The 19,880-nt window shown below is 44.3% G+C and overlaps 1 protein-coding gene and 1 long non-coding RNA gene across 12 annotated transcripts in view, besides 1 other annotated feature; one reads left to right on the top strand and one right to left on the bottom strand.

Moving 5' to 3' along the window:
- Positions 1 to 19,880, top strand: part of DTNBP1 (dystrobrevin binding protein 1) — a 140,252-nt gene that overhangs the window by 117,892 nt on the left and 2,480 nt on the right. For all 9 annotated transcript variants that reach the window (NR_036448.3, NM_001271669.2, NM_001271668.2 and 6 more), the window contains one exon: positions 11,772 to 11,927. Coding sequence is in view for 8 of the 9 variants with exons in the window: in NM_001271669.2 (NP_001258598.1) it covers positions 11,772 to 11,927 (156 nt within the window). In the remaining variant the exon portion in view is untranslated. The remainder of the gene's footprint in view (positions 1 to 11,771; positions 11,928 to 19,880) is intronic.
- On the bottom strand, positions 796 to 18,833 carry LOC105374947 (uncharacterized). 3 transcript variants are annotated; one of them, XR_007059475.1, is made up of 4 exons: positions 15,454 to 18,833; positions 11,247 to 14,663; positions 7,347 to 7,453; positions 796 to 6,779 (listed from the first exon to the last, which is right to left on the bottom strand). It is a non-coding gene; the product is annotated as an uncharacterized LOC105374947 (long non-coding RNA). The 3 variants fall into 3 exon arrangements; XR_007059474.1 differs by lacking the exons at positions 796 to 6,779; positions 7,347 to 7,453 and having other exon boundaries at positions 13,945 to 14,663; positions 15,454 to 15,651; positions 18,691 to 18,833; XR_007059476.1 differs by lacking the exons at positions 796 to 6,779; positions 7,347 to 7,453 and having other exon boundaries at positions 13,945 to 14,663; positions 15,454 to 15,627; positions 18,691 to 18,833.
- Positions 9,923 to 10,123: a silencer, noted in NCBI's record as "peak5680 fragment used in MPRA reporter construct". NCBI's record gives its function as "represses an SCP1 promoter by STARR-seq MPRAs in K562 erythroleukemia cells {active_cell/tissue: K562}" and the evidence as "EXISTENCE:reporter gene assay evidence [ECO:0000049][PMID:32103011]".

Raw genomic sequence — 19,880 nt, 5'->3', positions numbered from 1 at the left:
CAGCCTGAGAAAATTTGTATTCATTTGTTTAAGTGGGGGCAGGAGATTGGGAGACTTTAAAAATTGTTGTGTATACCTTATTTGAAAACTGAGGTAAGAAAAAATGTAACTGTTAAAAATGGTAACAGTACAGGAAAAGTGGTTTTTAAAACTGCAAGGAAATATTGTGTATTTTGTCATTGTCTAACAAGTCCTCAGTTTCTGAACAAAATTTTTCTAAAATATATTTTACTAAGCTCAGGGAACTAAAAGTACCTTTGGAAACAGCAATTATTGAAAATATTTAAAAGGAAGCTGAAACTTGTTTCTGACAGGCATCCACATTCTGGAGAAAAGAGAGAGAAAAGGAAACAGTCTGTACAATTACATATCCCTTATCTGAAATACTTGGGACTAGAAGTGTTGCAGGTTTTGGATTTTTTCCGATTTTGGAATATTTGCAGTATGCACTTACTGGTTGAGCATGGCTAAAACAAAAAACTGAAATCCTAAATGCTCCCATGAGCATCTCCTGTTAGAATCAGGTAGGTGCTCAAAAAGCTTCAGATTTCAGCGCAGGGATACTCAACCTGTGTTACAATTAGTAAGTCCCAGCAAATGCTGGCAAAGATGCAGAGAAACTAGCTGACTCACACAGTGATGATGGGGATGTAAAATGGAATAGCTACTCTGGAAAAGAGTTTGGCAGTTCCTTTCAAAACCGAAAAATGAACTTACCGTATGACCCAGCAGTTGCACTCTTGGGCATTTATGCAAGAGAAAGTACTTATTTTCATGTAGGAACTCATACACAAATGTTCATGACAGCTTTATTCATAATAGCCAAAAGTTGGAAACAGCCATTCAGTGGGTGAATGGTTAAACAAACTGTGGTACATCCATACCATAAAATTCTACTCAATAATAAAAGGGAACAGATTATTATGTGCTGTAGCTTGGAGAAACCCCAAGGCAATTATGCTGAGTGAAAAAAGCGAGTCTCAGAAGGATATATAGTACATGATTCCACTTACATAACATATGAAATAACATAATTATAGATTTGGAGTCCAGCTGAGTGTTTGGGGAAGGAGGGCATGGCTATAAGAGGTGTTGGAAGTAAATGCTTGGTGTCACCAAGTGAAAATGACACTCAGGCAAAAGTTTTCTCAGCAAGGCAATTTACTTCTATAGAAGGGTGTATCTTGTGGATGGAACAATGGCGAGAGCACACCAGACAAGGAAGGGGAAGGGGTCTTATTCCTAATGCCGCTAGCTCCTACTGCTGTGTCTTTCCCCTATTGGCTAGGGTTGGACTGCACAGTCTAAGCTAATTCCAATTGTCTCTTTTAAAGAGAGCAAGGGTATGAGCCGGAGTGGCAGGGTGAGTAGTTTTGGTGGAAAGGACAGTTACAGAACAGGTGACTAAGGATGCCTAAGGACAGAACAGGTGACAGAGGCTAGGAGGGGGTCATTTACTGAAACTAGGGGCAAGGAGAGTAAAGAATGAGGAAGTTAAACTTTAAAATGGAGAACAAAGAACAGGGAAGCTGAACATACTGACATATTGGTTCTTTGAAGAAGAACTCAGAACTTATTGTACTTAACAATTTTTCTCCTTCTTGAATTTTAAAGGAAGTTAACAGGCTAAACTTTGAAGAGGAATTTACTGTATCCTGCAAGGGGAACCTGAGGGAGTCTTACGGTGGTACTGTATTGATGTAGTGCTTACACAAGGCTATGCATGTAGTAAGACTGCATGGAGCTGTATGCCCATCTGCACGCACAGCGCATGTGTGACTGGTGAAATCTGAATAAGCTTTGTGGATTGTACCCATGTTAATTGTTGGGTTTTGACCTTATACCAGAATTATGTAAGATGTTAGCACTGAGGGACATTCAGGATGTACATTTCTAGGTAACATCCTATGAACCTATAATTATTTCGAAGTAAAAAGCTTTAAAAATTGAGTATTGCAATTTCATATAGTCATCCTAATGGGGGGAAAAATCCCTGATGGGTATACACCAAAATGTGCTAGTTGTAGTCATCTATAATAGGAAAAGTCCCCTAAAATAGGGACTTTCACCCTATTATTTGTGGAATAAATAATTTTTTATGGCTAAAAATTTTCCTCAGTGTACATAGTTCATGCATCAAAAATACCCTATTAAATAAATGCAGATAGGCCGGGCACGGTGTCTCATGCCTGTAATCCCAGCACTTTGGGAGACTCAGGTGGGCGGATCACCTGAGGTCAGGAGTTCAAGACCAGCCTGGCCAACATGGTGAAACCCTGTCTCCACTAAAAATACAAAAATGAGCCAGGTGTGGTTGTGCACATCTGTAGTCTTAGCTACTCGGCTACTCGGGAGGCTGAGACACAAGAATCACTTAAACCCAGGAGGTGGAGGTTGCAGTGAGCCAAGATCGTGCCATTTTACTCCAGCCTGGGCAATAGAGTGAGACTCTGTCTAAAAAGAAAAAAATGCAAATAATTAGAAGCATAAAAAATTTGGCCAGGTGCGATGGCTCACACCTGTAATCCTAGCACTTTGGGAGGCCGAGGCGGGTGGATCAAAAGGTCAGGAGATCGAGACCATCCTGTCAAACAATGTGAAACCCTGTCTCTACTAAAAATACGAAAATTAGCTGGGTGTGGTGGCGTGTGCCTGTAATCCCAGCTACTCAGGAGGCTGAGGCAGGAGAATGGCTTGAACCAGGGAGGCCGAGATTGCAGTGAGCCAAAATCGTACCACTGCACTCCAGCCTGGTGACAGAGTGAGATTCCGTCTAAAAAAAACAAAAAACAAAAAACAAAACAAATCATAGGTCCCAATTTTTAAAATCTGTCACATTGACAGAATTTAATGTCTTCTAGTGGTTATGTAATTTGACAGACTGTTGGCAATTGTTTTTATCAAAAAACAGCTTGAAGAGATGTTTATTTGTATTCAGAAAATTGTTTAGAGACTTACAGATATTTCACAGTTCTCTCTTGATCATGTCACATGTATTTTAATATCACAAAACTCATATTTCCTAACTCAATATAAAAACACCTGAATTGTAAATATTGAAGTTAGTTTTTAAAGTTTATTCTTAGTCTTATTTATCTCTAATGAACAATGCTCTTAATCTTTAATAGAGAGATTACTAGAATTTTTCTCAATTCATATGTAGTAAGTGTTACTGTTTCTCTTTTAACATTTTGAACTCTTAAGAGAGAGGCTTATCCTAGTTTTCTATACATGACTCCCAGAGGTTTGGGGGCCTTTTTCGGTCATTAACACCTCACTATATTTATTACCTATCTCGGTTAAAAGGCTTAGTTGTAGAGTATGTTGAATATGTTCCTGAAATGAACTTGGTTTTTTTTAATTTCATATATCTTGTGCCACCCTTATGCCCCATTAAAACGTATAATTGAGAATTGATTATTCCGTCTTCACTGGTAATGGAATTTTTTGTTGTTTTGAGTAAGTAAGCATTTGAAATTGATAGTGGTAACTAAAGTGGAAGTTGCAGTCAGATAAAACTTGAGCAATGATCTGGAGTTGAAATAAAAAGACATAGGCCTGAGGTGATAATGGAATTAAATGATTACTCTTGACTCGTCGTAGAAAAACTACTGCATCTTGTTTTGATTTTTTTTCTTTTAATCTGAAGTCCATTTGTTGAAGCTCTTAACATCTTTGTATTTGTCTGGCTTTCCCCAGTATAATAAATGGCATCTTAATGTGAGCAAGGGGTCATTTTTCCTTGTAGAAAATGTTCTGTAATTTAGATTTTTCAGTCCTCATTCTAAAATTCAGATGCTGTTAAACCCCTAGATTTGAAATTTTTCCTTCAAATATCCTCCCATCATTTCACCTCTCCCATATTTGGTTGTTTTCTTGATGCAGGCCCAATTGATGATTTCAGTACACACAGCACAATTAGAACATCCTCATTCAGTCACGTCGCTGAGGGCAAATGTCTCTTAGCTGTTGGGCAGCAAAGTTATTTTTAAATGCCCGCTTTGTGCTTTTTCATAGTCATCCTGAATAGTGGCTGGTGTGGTGCAACTATACTCGGTCCTCAGTGAAGCTGGCTTAGTGCTTAGCCCCGAGATACAAAAAGGGCTCTGAAATGAAGTGGGGAGCTGGTGGGGACAGCTGGGGATGTTTCAGATACCTAGTGAGGAACATGTTTTAAAACTTAAAACAGTGATTGTTTTCTCCTATTTTTTATAAGTCATTTTAAGGCCAGGCACATTGGCTCACACCTGTAATCCCAGCACTTTGGGAGGCCAAGGCAGGCGGATCACGAGGTCAGGAGATCGAGACCATCTTGTCTAACATGGTGAAACCCTGTCTCTACTAAAAATACAAAAAAATTAGCTGGCAGTGGCAGCATGCACCTGTAGTCCCAGCTACTCGGGAGGCTGAGGCAGGAGAATGGCGTGAACCTGGGAGGCAGAGCTTGCAGTGAGCCGAGATCGCGCCACTGCACTCCAGCCTGGACGACAGAGCAAGACTCCATGTCAAAAAAGAAAAAAGTCATTTTAAGTTTCCTAATCTAACCCCTCCTCCCTTGTGAAGGTCGAGACATGATTGGATTTCATTCTGATGTAGAAAAAACTGAGATAAACTGAAGGGCCAATAATTCAGCAACACGAGAGAATCAAACTTTTAAAGCAGAAGTAGTCTTGAGAAAAATGTTTTTTATGTTATATATCTACAGAAAATCTTAATTCTGTTAAAACAAGATATTCTTTAATTAAAACCCCTTTGATGATTTCTGCATTGATCTTTGGTTTTGAGCTGCCTATTCTGGAATTATTTTTCAAAAGAAGATTAGCTGAACTTTGAAGCAGTTGAAGCATACTTAATGTATTTTAGGGTTGACTTATTCTAATGCACTTGGCAGCCATGAATCATTTGAACAGATATGTTGACAACTGAAGTGAAACAAATGAAAAGACATCCTCTTCAGTTCATTTTTTTTTCTTACGAGTACACTCTAAATTCCTTGCAGATTTATTAAGAGTACTGAAAGGTAACTAATTCTTAAGCATCTGAGTGGGGCCCAGAGCAGGTGATTTTCAGTGCATAGTGAGTCCTGGTTCTTGGTAATATTTGGTGTTGCTCCCTCTTCAAGAGGCTGTTGTTTAAATAATGCTGGTATTAATATTAGCTGCCAGCTATTGGCCAACATTGTATGCTTGGTGATTCGTATTTGCTACCTCATTTAATCCTGCCAACAACCTTACGAAATAGGTGTTTTTACCGCACTTGTATGGAGGAGAAGTTGCAACTCTGGTGAAATCAGTTATGTGGAAAAAGAGTCTGAGACTAAATCCTGAAGAGGATTTAGCTGCAGGTCCTTTGGGAGGCGATTCCAAGAAGCAGGAGCGAGGGACAGGGAAAGTGAGACAGCGAGGAAAAGAAGCTAAAAGCAGGAAGCTGCTAAAGCCAGTGAGGATGTGCCGTCGTACCAGGATCTCTGAGAAGTGTTGAGAACGCCTCCTAGAATCGTCCACCCAAAGGATGTTAGACCAGGGTCCTGAGACACTGACCTCTGTCACATGTTGGTTGAGAACTGCCTTAATTCCACAAAACTGGGCTGTGCTGGCTAGGTTCCCTGAGATTCAGAGAATACTCTGACCAGAAAAACAGCCACACAGGCGTGGCTGTGAGGTGGGACCCTCTGTGCATCCCAATGAGCGCACACAGAACTGGCTTCCATAGCTGCAGCTGAACGTAGAGGTAGACCAGAGGGCTGTGCCAAGAGGCGCTAGGAGTGTAGGACCTGAGTTGGGCCTAGCCCAAAACCTGTGAGCACAAGAAACTCTTCCCACTGTGGCAGACCGTCTTCACGTAAACACATGTGGGATGAGGTAGCAGGAAATGGAGAGAGGGCACCCAGTACTGGCAACAGTATGAGCAGAATGCACAGAGGAAATACTATGCATGTGATTACATGCTAATTAGGAATATTTACTTTTCCTATGTTGCTTTGGTTAGCATTAGTTTGTGTTTCTTGCATGTATGTAGATCAGAATATAAGAAGAAAGCCCATAGTATTCTAAGTATTAGACACTGTACCTGATTTGAGATGATAAACTCCATCACTGGGTTTTAAGGTCTGCCATGCATACCAGCTTGCTGGACTCCGGAGTTGAGAGTGTGGTGCTGGGAATGTGGGGATGGGCAGGGACTAAGGCAGATAACGGACCTCATTCACCATTGTCCATGGTAAGAGCTGCTGCGTTTGTTTTGTTAACAATCTTGATAACACCCCTAAGATGTTGATACTCCCCTGAGCTGAACCAGAGGAAACAATGCCTTGGGTGAAATGGTTTGTTACAGTGTATCCCAGGACAGAAGGTAGCTGAAATGGTTTCTGCAGATGACTAGATTTTCCGGAGTAATAGCACCCAAACTCAGCGGAGCAGGGTGTCTGCCACAGACACAGGGCAGGAGTTAGGAAATATTTACGTAAGGTAAGGCACTCAGGTTGTCCTTTTTCATTTTTACAGTCAACCAGATTTGGTCAGGGACCTGAATTCATACAGCCTGTTTGGAATAAGCCCATATTGCTGTGTAATAGATAACCACAAACATAACAGTTTAAAATGAAACAAATTTATCAGCTTCCAGTTTGTAGGGCAGAAGTGTAGGCAAGCTGTGACTGGATTCTCTGCCCAGTATTCCATGAGGCTGAGATCAGGGGTCGCAGAGCTGCGTTGTTTTCTGGAGGCACTGGAGAAGAATCTGTGTGAGGGCCCTTCAGGTCATTGCCAGAGTTCAGGCACCTAGTGATTGTGGGATGGAGGCCCCTTTTCTTTCACCTGCTGTCAGCCCGGGGATGCTCTCAGCCCCAGGATGCTACCCACATTCCTTTCCACGTGGCCCCCTCCATCCTCCAACCCAGCAACAGATAATGGCCCTGTGTCAAATCCCTGTCACGCTTCACATCTTTCTCCAAGAAGGCCCAGTGCCCTTCACAAGCCTAGCTAGGCCAGGCTCACCCAGATGTTCCCCCTTTAAGGAGTCAGCTGTGCCATGGACATCACCTAGGCACAGGGTAAAATCCATCCCAGCCCCAGGCCTAGGGAGTGCAGAGCAGGTACACCAGGGAGCAGGTCTCAGAGCCACCTCAGGATTCTCCCTGCACCCCTGTGAAGTACAAAGGATTTAAGATCTAAAAGCAAGTTTAGAAGTAATCCTTTACCCATGTACCAGGTCAAAAATGGTAAATGTCTGACCCTGATTTCATTTTTTGTATTCTCTGTACATGCTGTATGAGTCCATTTTCACACAGCTATAAAGAAATAGCTGAGAGGGGTAATTTATAAACAAAGGAGGTTTAATTGACTCACAGTTCTGCATAGCTGGGGAGGCCTCAGCAAAGTTACAATCATGGCAGAAGGGGAAGCAGTCACCTTCTTCACAAGGCAGTAGGAGAGAGTGTGAGCGTGGGAAGGAACTGTCAAACACAAAACCGTCAGATCTCGTGAGGACTAGTCACTATCACAGGAACAGCATGGGCGAAACTGCCTCCATGATCCAATTACTCCCTTCCTCAGCGTAGGGATTACAATTTGAGATGAGATTTGGGTGGGGACACAGAGCCAAACTATATTATTCTGCCCCAGGCCCCTCCCAAATCTCATGTCTTTTCACATTCAAAACCAATCATGCCTTCCCAACAGTCTCCCAAAGTCTTAACTCATTCCAGCATTAACCCAAAAGTCGTATTTTTTTTTTTTTTGAGATGCAGTCTCACGCTGTCGCCCAGGCTGGAGTGCAGTAGCGTGATCTTGGCTCACTGCAACCTCTGCCTCCTGGGTCCTGGTTCGAGCAGTTCTCCTGCCTCAGCCTCCCAAGTAGCTGGGATTACAGGCATGCACCACCATGCCCAGCTAATTTTTTTTTGTATTTTTACAAAAAATACATGACCACCATGTTAGTCAGGCTGGTCTTGAACTCCTGACCTCGTGATCTGTCCGCCTTGGTCTCCCAAAGTGTTGGGATTACAGGCGTGAGCCACCGCGCCCGGCCTAAGCCAAAAGTCTTAAGTCCAAAGTCTCATGTGACACAAGGCAAATGTCTAGCCTAGGAGCCCATAAAGTCAAAAGCAAGTTAGTTACTTCCAAGATACAATGGGTGTACAGGCATTGGATCAATGTTCCCATTCCAAATGGGAGAAATTGGCCAAAACAAAGGGTCTACAGGCCCCAAGCAAGTCTGAAATCCAGCAGGGCAGTCATTAAATCTTAAAGCTCCAAAATAATCTCCTCTGACTTCATGCCTTACTTCCAGGTTACAGGGGTGGCTCCCATGGCCTTGGGCAGCTCCTTCATGGGTTGGCATTGAATGCCTGCATCTTTTCCAGATTCATGGTGCAAGCTGTCAGTGGATCTACCATTCTGGGCTCTGGAGGGCAGTGGCCCTCTTCTCACAGCTCCACTAGGCAGTGCCCCAGTGGGGACTCTGTGGAGGTGGTGGGGCAGCAACCCCACATTTACCATTTGCACTGCCCTAATAGAGATCTCCATGAGGGCTGTGTCCCTGCAGCAGACTTTTGCCTGGACATCCAGGCATTTCCATACATCCTGGGAGATCTAGGCCAAGGTTTCCAAACCTCAATTCTTGACTTCCGTGCACCCGCAGGCCTAACAGCATGTGGAAGCTGCCAAGGCTTGTGGCTTGCACCCTCTGAAGCAATAGCCCAAGCTGTACCTTGGCCCCTTTTAGCCACGGCTGTAGTTAGAGTGGCTGGAATGCAGGGTGCCATATCCCAAGGCTGCACAGAGCAGCTGGCCCCTGGGCCTGGCCCACAAAACTATTTTTCCTCCTAGGCCTCAGGGCCTGTGATGGGAGAGGCTGCTGCCAAAATCTCTGACATGCCCAGGAGACATTTTCCGCATTGTCTTGGCACTTAACATTCAACTCCTTATTACTTATGCAAATTTCTGCAGCTGGCTTGAATTTCTCCCCAGAAAATGGGTTTTTCTTTTCTGTCGCATTGTCAGGCTACAGATTTTCTAAACTTTTATGTTTTGCTTTTCTTGTAAACATAAGCTCCAAGTTCAAACTATCTCCTTGTGAACACATAAAACTGAAAGCTTTCAGAATAATCCAGGTCATGTCTTGAATGCTTTACTGCTTAGAAATTTCTTCCACCAGATACCCTTAATCATTGCTCTCAAGTTCAAGGTTCCACAGATCTCAAAGGCATGGCAAAATGCCACCAGTCTGCTAAAGCATAGCATGAGTGACCTTTACTCCAGTTCCCAATAAGTTCCTCATCTCCATCTGAGACCACCTCAGTCTGGACTTCATTGTTCACATCACTATCAGCATTTTGGTTGAAACCATTCCACAAGTCTCTAGGAGGTTCCAGAGTTTCCCATATCTTCCTGTCTTTTTCTGAGCCCTCCAGACTGTTCCAACCTCTACCCGTAACCCAGTTCCAAAGTCCCTTCCACATTTTCAAGTATCTTTATATCAATACCCCACTCTCTCCAGTACCAATTTGCTGCATTAGTCAATATTCACACTGCTATAAAGAAATACCTGAGGCTGGGTGAGGTTGCTCACACCTGTAGTTCCAGCACTTTGGGAGGCCGAGGCAGGCAGATCACTTGAGGTAGGAGTTTGAGACCAGCCTGACCAACATGGCAAAACTCCATCTCTACTAAAAATACAAAAAATTAGCTGGGCATAGTGGCGTGCTCCTGTAATCCCAGCTACTTGGGAGGCTGAGGCACAATAATTGCTTGAACCCAGGAGGCAGAGGTTGCAGTGAACTGAGATCGCACCACTGTCACTGCACTTCAGCTTGGGGAACAGAGTAAGACTCTGTCTCAAAAAAAATAGGTAATTTATAAACAAAGGAGGTTTAATTGACTCACAGCTCTGCATGGCTGGGGAGGCCTCAGGAAACTTATGATCATGGCAGAAGGGGAAGCAGGCTCCTTCACAAGGTGGAGAGTATGAGCATGTGAAGGAGGAACTGTCAGACACTTACACAACCATCAGATCTAGTGAGAACTACTCACTATCACGAGAACAGCATGGGGGAGACTGCCCCCATGACCCAATCACTTCCCTCCCCTGACATGTGAGAATTACAATTCGATATGAGATTTGGGTGGGAACACAGAGCTAAACCATATCACGTGCCTTGAGGAAAAGTTAAACTACTGGAAAGTGTTTATAGCTGGGAGATTTGGGGTTCTTGCTTGAATGACCAGGTGAAGGTTAATTATGTTAGTGTTCTTGCCTTGTATATTACTAAGGCTTACCTTGAAGGGTCACTGGTCCCTTAAATTATAAAATTTTTTCACATCCTTTCATATGTTTCATATCAATATTGGGTTAATATTTCTATCCCAAATTTTCAGATGAGAAGGTTAACTGATTAGGTTGTGTGGTCAGTAAACACTAAAAAGCCAAGATTAAGCACTTTGTAATACACCATGATGGCTACATACTTACTTTTTTTGTTCCCAAGCTTTTTTTTTTTTTTTTTTTTGAGACAGAGTCTCGCTCTGTCTCCCAGGCTGGAGTGCAGTGGCAAGATCTTGGCTCACTGCAACCTCTGCCTCCTGGGTTCAAGTGATTCTCCTGCCTCAGTCTCCTGAGTAGCTGGGAATACAGGTGACTGCCACCATGCCTGGCTAATTTTTGTATTTTTAGTAGAGATGGGGTTTTACGGTTTTACCATATTGGCCAGGCTGGTCTCGAACTCCTTACCTCAGGTGATCCGCCTGCCTCGGCCTCCCAAAGGGCTGGGATTATAGGCGTGAGCCACCGCGCCCGGCCCTGTTCCCAACTTTTTACTGTGGTAAAGTACACATAAAATTTACCATTTTATGTGTACATAGAATTCATAAGTGTCCAGCTGAGTGGTATTAAATATATTCATGCTGTGCATCCATCACTACCATCCATCTCCAGATGTCTTTCGTCTTGTAAAACTGAAAATCTGTACCCATTAACCACTAAGCTCCCACGCCCTCTCCCCAGCCCTGAGAGCACACTTCGTGTCTCCATCCATCTGACTGCTCTAGGTACCTCATATGAGTGGAAGCACACAGCATTTGCCTTTTCGCGACTGGCTGGAAGCACACAGCATTTGCCTTTTCGTGACTCCGGCTTACTGCACTTAGCATATGTGCTCCAGGTTCATCCAAGTTACAGCGTGTGTCAGAATATCCCTCCTTTTTAAGGGTGAATAGTATTCTACTGTTACATACTTTTAACAAACATACCTTGAGAGCTTACTGTGTGCCAGGCTCTGAGCTGAGTGACAGCATGTTGAAATGAGTCATACATGGTCACAGTCTTGCAGGGACTCCAAATCCTTAGCAATTGCACTGCAATTTTTGTAAGTCAGCTGCAAAAGTCTAAACACAGGGATGTGGAAACATCTGGATGGAGCAGCAGACTCCACTGGAGTTAGTAGAAGGACGACCTGAGAAGCTGGTCTTGGAAGGTGAACAGCTGTTTGTGACTGATGAATGGGCGATGCGGGTGGGAAGGTCGTTCCAGCAAAGGGAACAGCACATGCAAAGGTGTGGAACGAAGGGCCTGACCCTGACCGCCCAGGTAGGGGGAGGAAGTGCAGCAGATTGGGGGACAAGGAGGCCAGCTGTACACGCAGTCGGGGCACCAGCCCAGTCTGTAAACGCGGCATGACTCCATCCACTTGGAGGGTGGATGCGAGCAGCTGTTTATACCCATTTCCTCTCTCAGTCCCTTTTCAAACCCTAACCCCAGTTATTCTGTTTCCTCAGCTGAACTAGATGCAGAGCACGCCCAGAAGGTCCTGGAAATGGAGCACACCCAGCAAATGAAGCTGAAGGAGCGGCAGAAGTTTTTTGAGGAAGCCTTCCAGCAGGACATGGAGCAGTACCTGTCCACTGGCTACCTGCAGATTGCAGAGCGGCGAGGCGAGTGGGGGCTGGGGCTGCTGGTGTGGGGACTCACCGGCTGTGCGGGGTGGCGATGGACCCCTCTCCCCAGAGCAGGGCATGGGGCAGAATCCTCAGAAGTTCCGTTCTGTTATGAGACCCCAGCAACCAAAATGTGTGCGTCGGGCCACCTCTCTCTTGCCCTGCTTTTGCCTCTTCTATCAGTCTAAGCTTTAGTTGAAGATATATTTTTTTTAATACCTCTAAAGATTACAGATACAGCCAGGCGTGGTGGCTCACGCCTGTAATCCCAGCACTTTGGCAGGCCAAGGCAGGCAGATCACCCGAGGTCAGGAGTTTGAGACCAACCTGGCCAACATGGTGAAACCTCATCTCTACTAAAATACAAAAATTAGCCGGCCGTGGTGGCGCGTGTCTCTAATCCCAGCTACTCAGGAGGCTGAAGCACGGGAATCACTTGAACCCGGGAGGCGGAGGTTGCCATGAGCCGAGATCGCACCACTGCACTCCGGCCTAGGTGGCAGAGTGAGACTGTCTCAAAAAAAAAAAAAAAAAAAAAAGATTACAAACACAAATTATGCTTCTAGAGAACCTGCAAAATTACCAAAATGGAAAAAAAGAAAAATAGCCCTTAATTCTCCAGTACAGAATAGTCCCTGTTACTGCTTTTCGTGTGTTCTTTCTAGTCTCTGTCGAGTCTGCTTATCTAATTGGTATCTGACTGGACCGTACATATATATGGCTTTGTCTCTAACTTTTCTTCATGTTACATAGGGCTCTTTCCGCCTGTTGTTAAAAATACTATAAGAGGTTGTGTGTCAAAGGCTGCATCTTTTTGTCATGATGTATCCTAATATATTCCACCAGTTTTCCTAGCTGAACATTTAAAATCTTTCCCTCAGTAAATAGTGCTGTAAGGAACAAGCTGATTAGAAGTCCAGACACCGAACTCCTTCTTCCCAGCTTTTCCTTTGGAAGAACTGAGTGACTCAGAGGTGCAGCAGGGGTGGGCAGGGCAGCGGCACTGGGCAGCTTACATTTTCCCTCCAGCCTGCGCTGCACAGGCAGTACCAGACCCCCGGCAGCGGGGAGACCCGTCCAAACCTTGCCCTGTTTTCCTGCCCTCCCATTCTCCTGAACGTCTCATCATCTTCTGGACACCTCCCTCACCCCCCAAATCTCAGCCTTCATCCTTTCCCCAGCCTTGCCTGGCCCTGGCCTTTGTTCTCTCTATCCTGCCCCCAACCACATCTCCCAGGAGTGTTTCTTCCTTGTCATCCAGTTCTGTGTCCCCTCCAAGGAGAGGTTAAAGAAATCCGAGAATGAGGCCAGGCGCAGTGGCATACGCCTATAATCCCAGCACTTTGGGAGGCCGAAGTGGGTGGATCACGAGGTCAAGAGATGGAGACCATCCTGGCCAACATGGTGAAACCTCGTCTCTACTGAAAATACAAAAATTAGCTGGGCGTGGTGACATGTGCCTGTAGTCCCAGCTACTCAGGAGGCTGAGGCAGGAGAATCACTTGAACCCGGGAGGCAGAGGTTGCAGTGAGCTGAGATCGCGCCACTGCACTCCAGCCTGGCGACAGAGCAAGACTCCATCTCAAAAAATAAATACATAAATAAAAAGAAATCCAAGAATGAGGAAAGAAAATAATGTTGAGAAAAATAGATTAATAGCAGTAGTTGAAGACTTCAGAGTGTGCTGGTGAATGCAGTCAGTTAGTTGTGTGGATGATGCTTGTTTACCTTCCAATGCACAGTATAGATTTGAAGCTTAACAACGTTCTCTGGAGTCAGCCTTTGCCATTCTTGTATCCTGCGACCCTGCATTTGTCCTCTGTGCGTTTCCTCCGAGCATACGTGCAGGATTCTGGTGCTTCCGTGTTTGCTGCAAATTGTAGAGAGTGGCTTCCCATGGCTCCTTTGGGAGGAAGGAGAGGGTTTGCTCCAGGGATTTTTATCCTGTTAAGGGTAGAAACCGAGAAGGACACTGTCTTACCCCAGCTGCCATAACAAAACAATATGGACTGGGTGACTTCAACAGCAGACATTTATTTTCCCTCAGTTCTGGAGGCCTCAGATCCAAGATCAGCATGCTGGCGCGATCGGTTTCTGATGAGGGCTCTCTTCCTTGCTTATAGACGGCCCCCTTCTCCCTATGTGTGCACGTGGCCAACAGTAGGGTGGAGCTCTCTGCTATCTCTTGGTATTAGGGCTAATCTCAACCACAGGGGCCATGTCCATCTGACCTCATCTAACTTAATTACCTCCCAAAGGCCCCAGCTCCAAATATCCTCATATTGGGGGTTAGGGCTTCAACATACAAATTTTATGGGGACACATTCAGTCCATACAGATACACCCTGGCCGACCCACACATTTGAACATAATGACACATCGCACCAATGTCTCATGTCATAGAAGAGATGCAGTGATGATGGACAGTCATAGAAACTCTGATTGCTAAACAATTTAACTCTATCTTCCTTCAGTTTAGCACTTGCTGGTGAGCCCAGAGGAAGCACAGAGAAATGAAAGTGCCTCTCAGGAAGCTCCCATTGTAGGGAGAGCCGTGGATGCACCCCCGAGAGGATGATGAAGTAGTAGACGCGTGGCCGGCTTGGAAGGAGCAGCTTCTGTTGATGGCCAGCCCCTGGTGACAGGGACGGGCACGTACTGCAGTTGCTCCACAGCTAGCAAGTCAGCGGGCTGGCAGAGAGAACGCGTCTAGCAGATACCTGCTGGAAATACCTGCAAGGAAATATGAAGTGGTTAAATTTTTGTGGTTTTGAGTATCTCAAAGATTAAGTTTCAAGAAAATGCTGGGCTCATTTTTTTAAGGTAAAAATCAGGCACATGTCGCCAATATATGGTTTTGAAAGCTTTGAAGAAGAAAATTGGCGGCCCTGGGCTTTTTAGCTTTCTCTTGAGCTAGAGCTGAGAGACAGCCACACACGGGAATCGGGCATCTCATCGCACGTCTGTGCAGAGCCGGCTCAGACTTCCCAGCCTGATGAGCCACAGCACCTTTCTTAGGGAGGAATCTTCATCTCCAAGGATTAGTATTAATTTAGGAGAATCAATCAAAATTTTAAAAACTCTACAGCGAACATGGTGTTTTGGACTCATTCCACTAAATCAGAAATAGCAGTTGGAATTTCACTTTCAGAAGCATCATTTCTTAATTAAGACAAGGCCATGGAAAGTTTTATCCAGAGAATCATCAGAGGAAGGGGTGAAGGCACATATGTGCCCACTTGGATGGTGCTGAGGCCAGGTGGCCCCCCAAGCACAGAGGCTCTCAGGCTTGAGGACTGAAGGCGGTGCCGGGAGGGCTGAGCAGCAGAGGGGGCCTGGGCCCCACCACATGCCCCACAGGCCTCTCCATGCCGTTAGGATATAATTAGATGTTTTGTAAGGCCCTAGCCCAGGTTTGATCTTCTGCCTGACATGACTGCCATTTTCTTAGAAAAGCATTTTTATTGCTTTGATTTTATTGCTGAGTGTCAGGATATCCTGCAGTTACTTATTAATAAATCACCTCGGAGATGTCCTGGTCTGTGCCTGGGTTTTCTGGCTCTGTGTTCCCATAGATGTCAGGCTCTTGTGTTTCTGAACCAGTAGTTCAGCAAAATGGAATCCTATGGAGCCAGGGGTGTCCCTGCTTCCAGAGGGATTGATCAGCTCTGGGATGCTCCAGCGTGGACCCAGTGCCCTGGGAAGAGAACGAGGTTTGGGGCTAATGATAAAATTACAATAAAGTTAGAAAAGATAGAATTAACAGGCAACAGTGCACCTAAGTGCTATGATTTTGAGAATCATCCATACTGATATATTCACCTCTAATTTGATTTCCATCCTTAAATATTTATTTCCATTGAATAAATGTAATTTATTCATTGATGTATTGATGGGTGTTTCCAGTTTTCTTATTTAATAAAAACAATGCCGGCATGGACTTTTGTTTGTTTTAGGATGGAGTCTCACTGTCACCCAGGCTGGAGTGCAGTGGCGTGGTCATAGCTCATTGCAGTCTGGAACTCCTGGGTTCAAGTGGTTCTCCCACCTCAGACTCCCGAGTAGCTGAGACGACAGGTGTGCACCACCATGCCGGGCTAATTTTTTATTTTTTTGGAGAGACAGGGTCTCACTGTGTGGCCCAGGCTGGTCTCGAACTCCTTGGCCCGAGTGATCCTCCCACCTGGGCCTCCCAGAGTGCTGGGATTACAGGCGTGAGCCACCACACCCGGCCTTGGACATTCTTATAATTTCTCTCTCTGTACATATACGTAAGAGTTGCTTTAAGACCAGCTGTTCTCAGGCTTGAGCAGTCCCACAGTCCCCTGGAGGGCTGTTCAAACATGGATTCCTGGGCCCACTGCAGGTGTGAGGTGGGGCCTGAGGATTTGCATTATAACCAAGTTACCAGGTGATGCTGAGGGGACCACACTTTGGAAACCATTTCTTTAGGGTATATAACTAGGAGAGGAATTACTGGTCACAATGACATGGCTGTCTTTCATTTCACTAGATGCTGTCAAATTTCTTGCCAAAACATTTGCACCAGTTTATAGTCTCCTCAGCCACATATGCACATTCTGATTACATCTTCGCCGGCACTTGGTAGCATCAGATTTTTAAATTTTTGCTAATCTGTTGGAATGAAACGACACCTTTGGCAGTTTCTGTATATTCAGGAATCTTCAAGCCTCTCTTTTCGGCTCCATTCTTCTGCCGCCCGTCCCTGAGCCAAAACCATACTGTAGTCTACTTAGTCATCAAGTGTTGGTTCTCAGCTGGGGACACTTTTGCCCCCAAGGGGACATTTGGCAATGTCTGGAGACCCATTTTGGTTGTCGTGCCTGGGGTGGTAAGGGTGTGCTATTGGCATCTAGTGGGCAGAGGCCAGGGATGCAGTTAAACACCCCACACTACCCAGGACACCCCACAACCAAGAACGATCTGGCACAAAGTGTCAGGAGTGCTGGAGCTGAGAAAATGTTTTCTAGTGAAGCTTGAGTCTGCTGGAGCCATTCCTGACCTGCTCTGCACATCTGTGTGCATTTATTTTCTTCATAGTTGCCATGACTCTTCTTGGGGTCTTGTCCGTTGGTATAAGTGTTACAGTTTCAAGTTTGTTGACGAACCTTGTCTACAGTTTGAGCGGAATTGCAGTAAGTTTCTGCACGGAGACACACTGGACCTCTTAGTGGTATTGGATCTTTCTGCAAGTGCACGTGTCTCATGCATTCCTGAGTGTTGAGTAGAACTTGCCTCCAATGCTGTTACCAGTGACTACTCTATTTGAAGAGTTACCTATTCTTTTTTTCTGATAGTTATAGAGATTTACTATTTCTCGTTAATTTTGGCAAGTTTTCCATGGAATTGTCTTTAGTTGTCAGATATGTCAGCATAACGTTGTCCATGGTGTGCGTCTCCCCCTTAGCTGTGTTCCTGGTTAGGCTTGCTTTTGCATGTTTAAAATTGTTCATGTGCCTTTTATTCCTTTCATCTCTATTTACGATGAGTCTTACCCAGAACATAACCATTTTTAAGCTTTTTTCCCCTAAAGAACCAGCTTCTTTGTTCTTTCTACTGTTTCATTAACTTCTCTTCAGTGTCGCTTTCTTTGGGCTATTGTTTTTTTCTAACCCAAGTTGAATATTCAGGCTTGATTTTCAGCGTTCCTCTCTAGTAAGGCATTCAAAGCTATGGATTTCTTGCAGGGGTACCATTTTAGCTGAATCCTACAAATTTTGACATTCATAATTTCTGGGTAAATTTTATCATTAGCATTTCATATTTGATTTGTGAACTGTTTATAAATGTTTTTTAAAAATAATTAGATGTGTGAAAGTTTTCCTAGCAGTTACCAATTTCTAACTAAATTTCATTGTGATTGGAGAATGGGATTTCGATTTCTCTTACTAACTTTGGGACTGCTGATGTCAGTCATCAAATAGGTATAGTGACATGCCCCCAAGATTATGGATATTATGTTTTCATTGTCATTCTGCCATATTTTTACTTTAAAAACGTAACCAAAAATAGAAGTTTTAGATTATCTTCCTGGTGAATTGAACCATTTAAAAGTCATTAAGTACTACTCTTTATCCCAATATTACTTTTGTTTCCCATTAAAATCTATTTTGATATTAATACAGCTGTATCAGCTTTCTTCTTAATTATTTGTTTCCTCATTATATCTTTTCATTTTTTAAGAAACATTTGCATGTTTCTGTGTCTCCATATTTGTCTCCTGTAAACAGAAGGTAGCTAGATTTTATTTTAGTTTAGTTGTATAATCTCTTAACTGACAAGTTTGGCTCATTGACATTTCCTGTGATCACTGACACACCCATTACCATCTTATTTGTTGCTACAGAATTTTCCTGAAAGCTTTTCTTATGCTTCTTAGTCCAGTTTTTTCTCTCCTGCCCTTTTCAAGAAGATGGCACAGACAAACTTTCAAAACTGAAGTCAGAAGCCACGATCTAAAAGACAGGCCTTGGCGAAAGGCTTCCGTAGGTCAGAAAGGAAACCCTCAGAAGCGTGCCCCCAAAAAGAACAAGCCTGACCAGCGTGCCTTCAAATTCCCCTGACCACTCAGCCTTGAAGATCCAGCCCAGCGAACTGCTGTCCCTGTGCGGCTGGGCTCAACCCCCGGCCAAGTCCGAGGCAGAGCAGGCTGGCTCAGTTGGCGAGGGTGATGCCGCCAAGCATGGGATCATCTAAACCATAATACTTTTCCCCAACTAAAAATAGGAATTACTCTTACCTCTCATTCAAGTGCTGAACTTTAGTGATTTTCTGAGCCTGAGGATAATGAGACTCACTTTCCTCCCAGATGAAGCCGCAATCTCACGTCGCTGTGGCTCTAAGCACCCTCCTCTCCACCCCCGTGTCTTTGTTCAGGAGGGTAATTTGGCCTTGGTGACTCCTCGTTATGACTGTTCCATTCCAGGTTTTACATTAACTCACACACTCACACGTCTCTTTGCTTAACATGCTTTCTTGCACTCAGCCCTTCCTTCACTATGCCTCTAGCGAGAGCAGGCTCATAATGACGTGTTTCTTCTTGGTCTCTGCTTTTCTCCTGGATCTTAAACGATACCTAATGTTACACCATTTTAGAGATGACATTTCTCTCTCCTCTTTGAACTTACTCCGCAGTCTTCTGGCTTTTATTATTGTTGTTCATGAGTTGCCTGTCATCCTAATTATTTCCTTCTCTTTCTTAGCCTGCCCTCTCTCTCTGGCTGCCTTTTAGAGAGCCTTTGTCTTTTGATGTTCTTCAACTTCAAAGCAATTGGTGTAGGTGAAGATTGCTTTGATCTTGCTTGGAATGTTTTGCTTTTTAAATCTGGGTCCTGAGGTCTTTCATCGATTTGGGAAACTCATCAGCTTCTTTGAATAGAGTTATCTCCCCTTCTTGGCTTCGGGGAAATGTGACCAGATGCTACGCTTCTGCATCTTTCGTACCTTTTATGCTCTCTTGTATTTCCTTTCTTTGTTCTTCTATGCTGCATTATGGCAGATTTACTCATCCTGCCTTCTAGTTTATTAATTTTCTATTGGGCTGTGACTGTGCCCCGAGTTTGAGATTTCAGTCTCTTCTACCTAGTCATTATTTGGCTTTCAAATGTCTGTCCTTATTTTTGACACCTTGTTTTTGACTTCACCTTTCCTGTGACTGTGGTGTATGAACAGCCATCTCATATTCTTCAGCGAGGATGATGTTTGTTTCTGCTGCCCTTCACTCGGAGTGGCTCATTTCATGTGTGTTACAAATGCCAGATTGGGTTGGGATTGACTTTGTTTAAACCAAGGTTAAGGGAGAGTCCTTCCAGAAATAATTTGCATTTGCTTCTGCCAGGCATTCCCCATGGCTAGGATAACTTACGTGGCTTGTGGTTTTCTGGACCATAGAGGTCGTTTGCCTATGAGTAAAGACCTGTGGGGCATCCC

Source organism: Homo sapiens, chromosome 6, assembly GCF_000001405.40.
Source record: "Homo sapiens chromosome 6, GRCh38.p14 Primary Assembly".
NCBI classification, from domain to species: domain Eukaryota; kingdom Metazoa; phylum Chordata; class Mammalia; order Primates; family Hominidae; genus Homo; species Homo sapiens.
The sequence above is the reverse complement of the archived record's forward strand: the minus strand, read 5'-3'. Positions and strand labels throughout refer to the sequence as shown.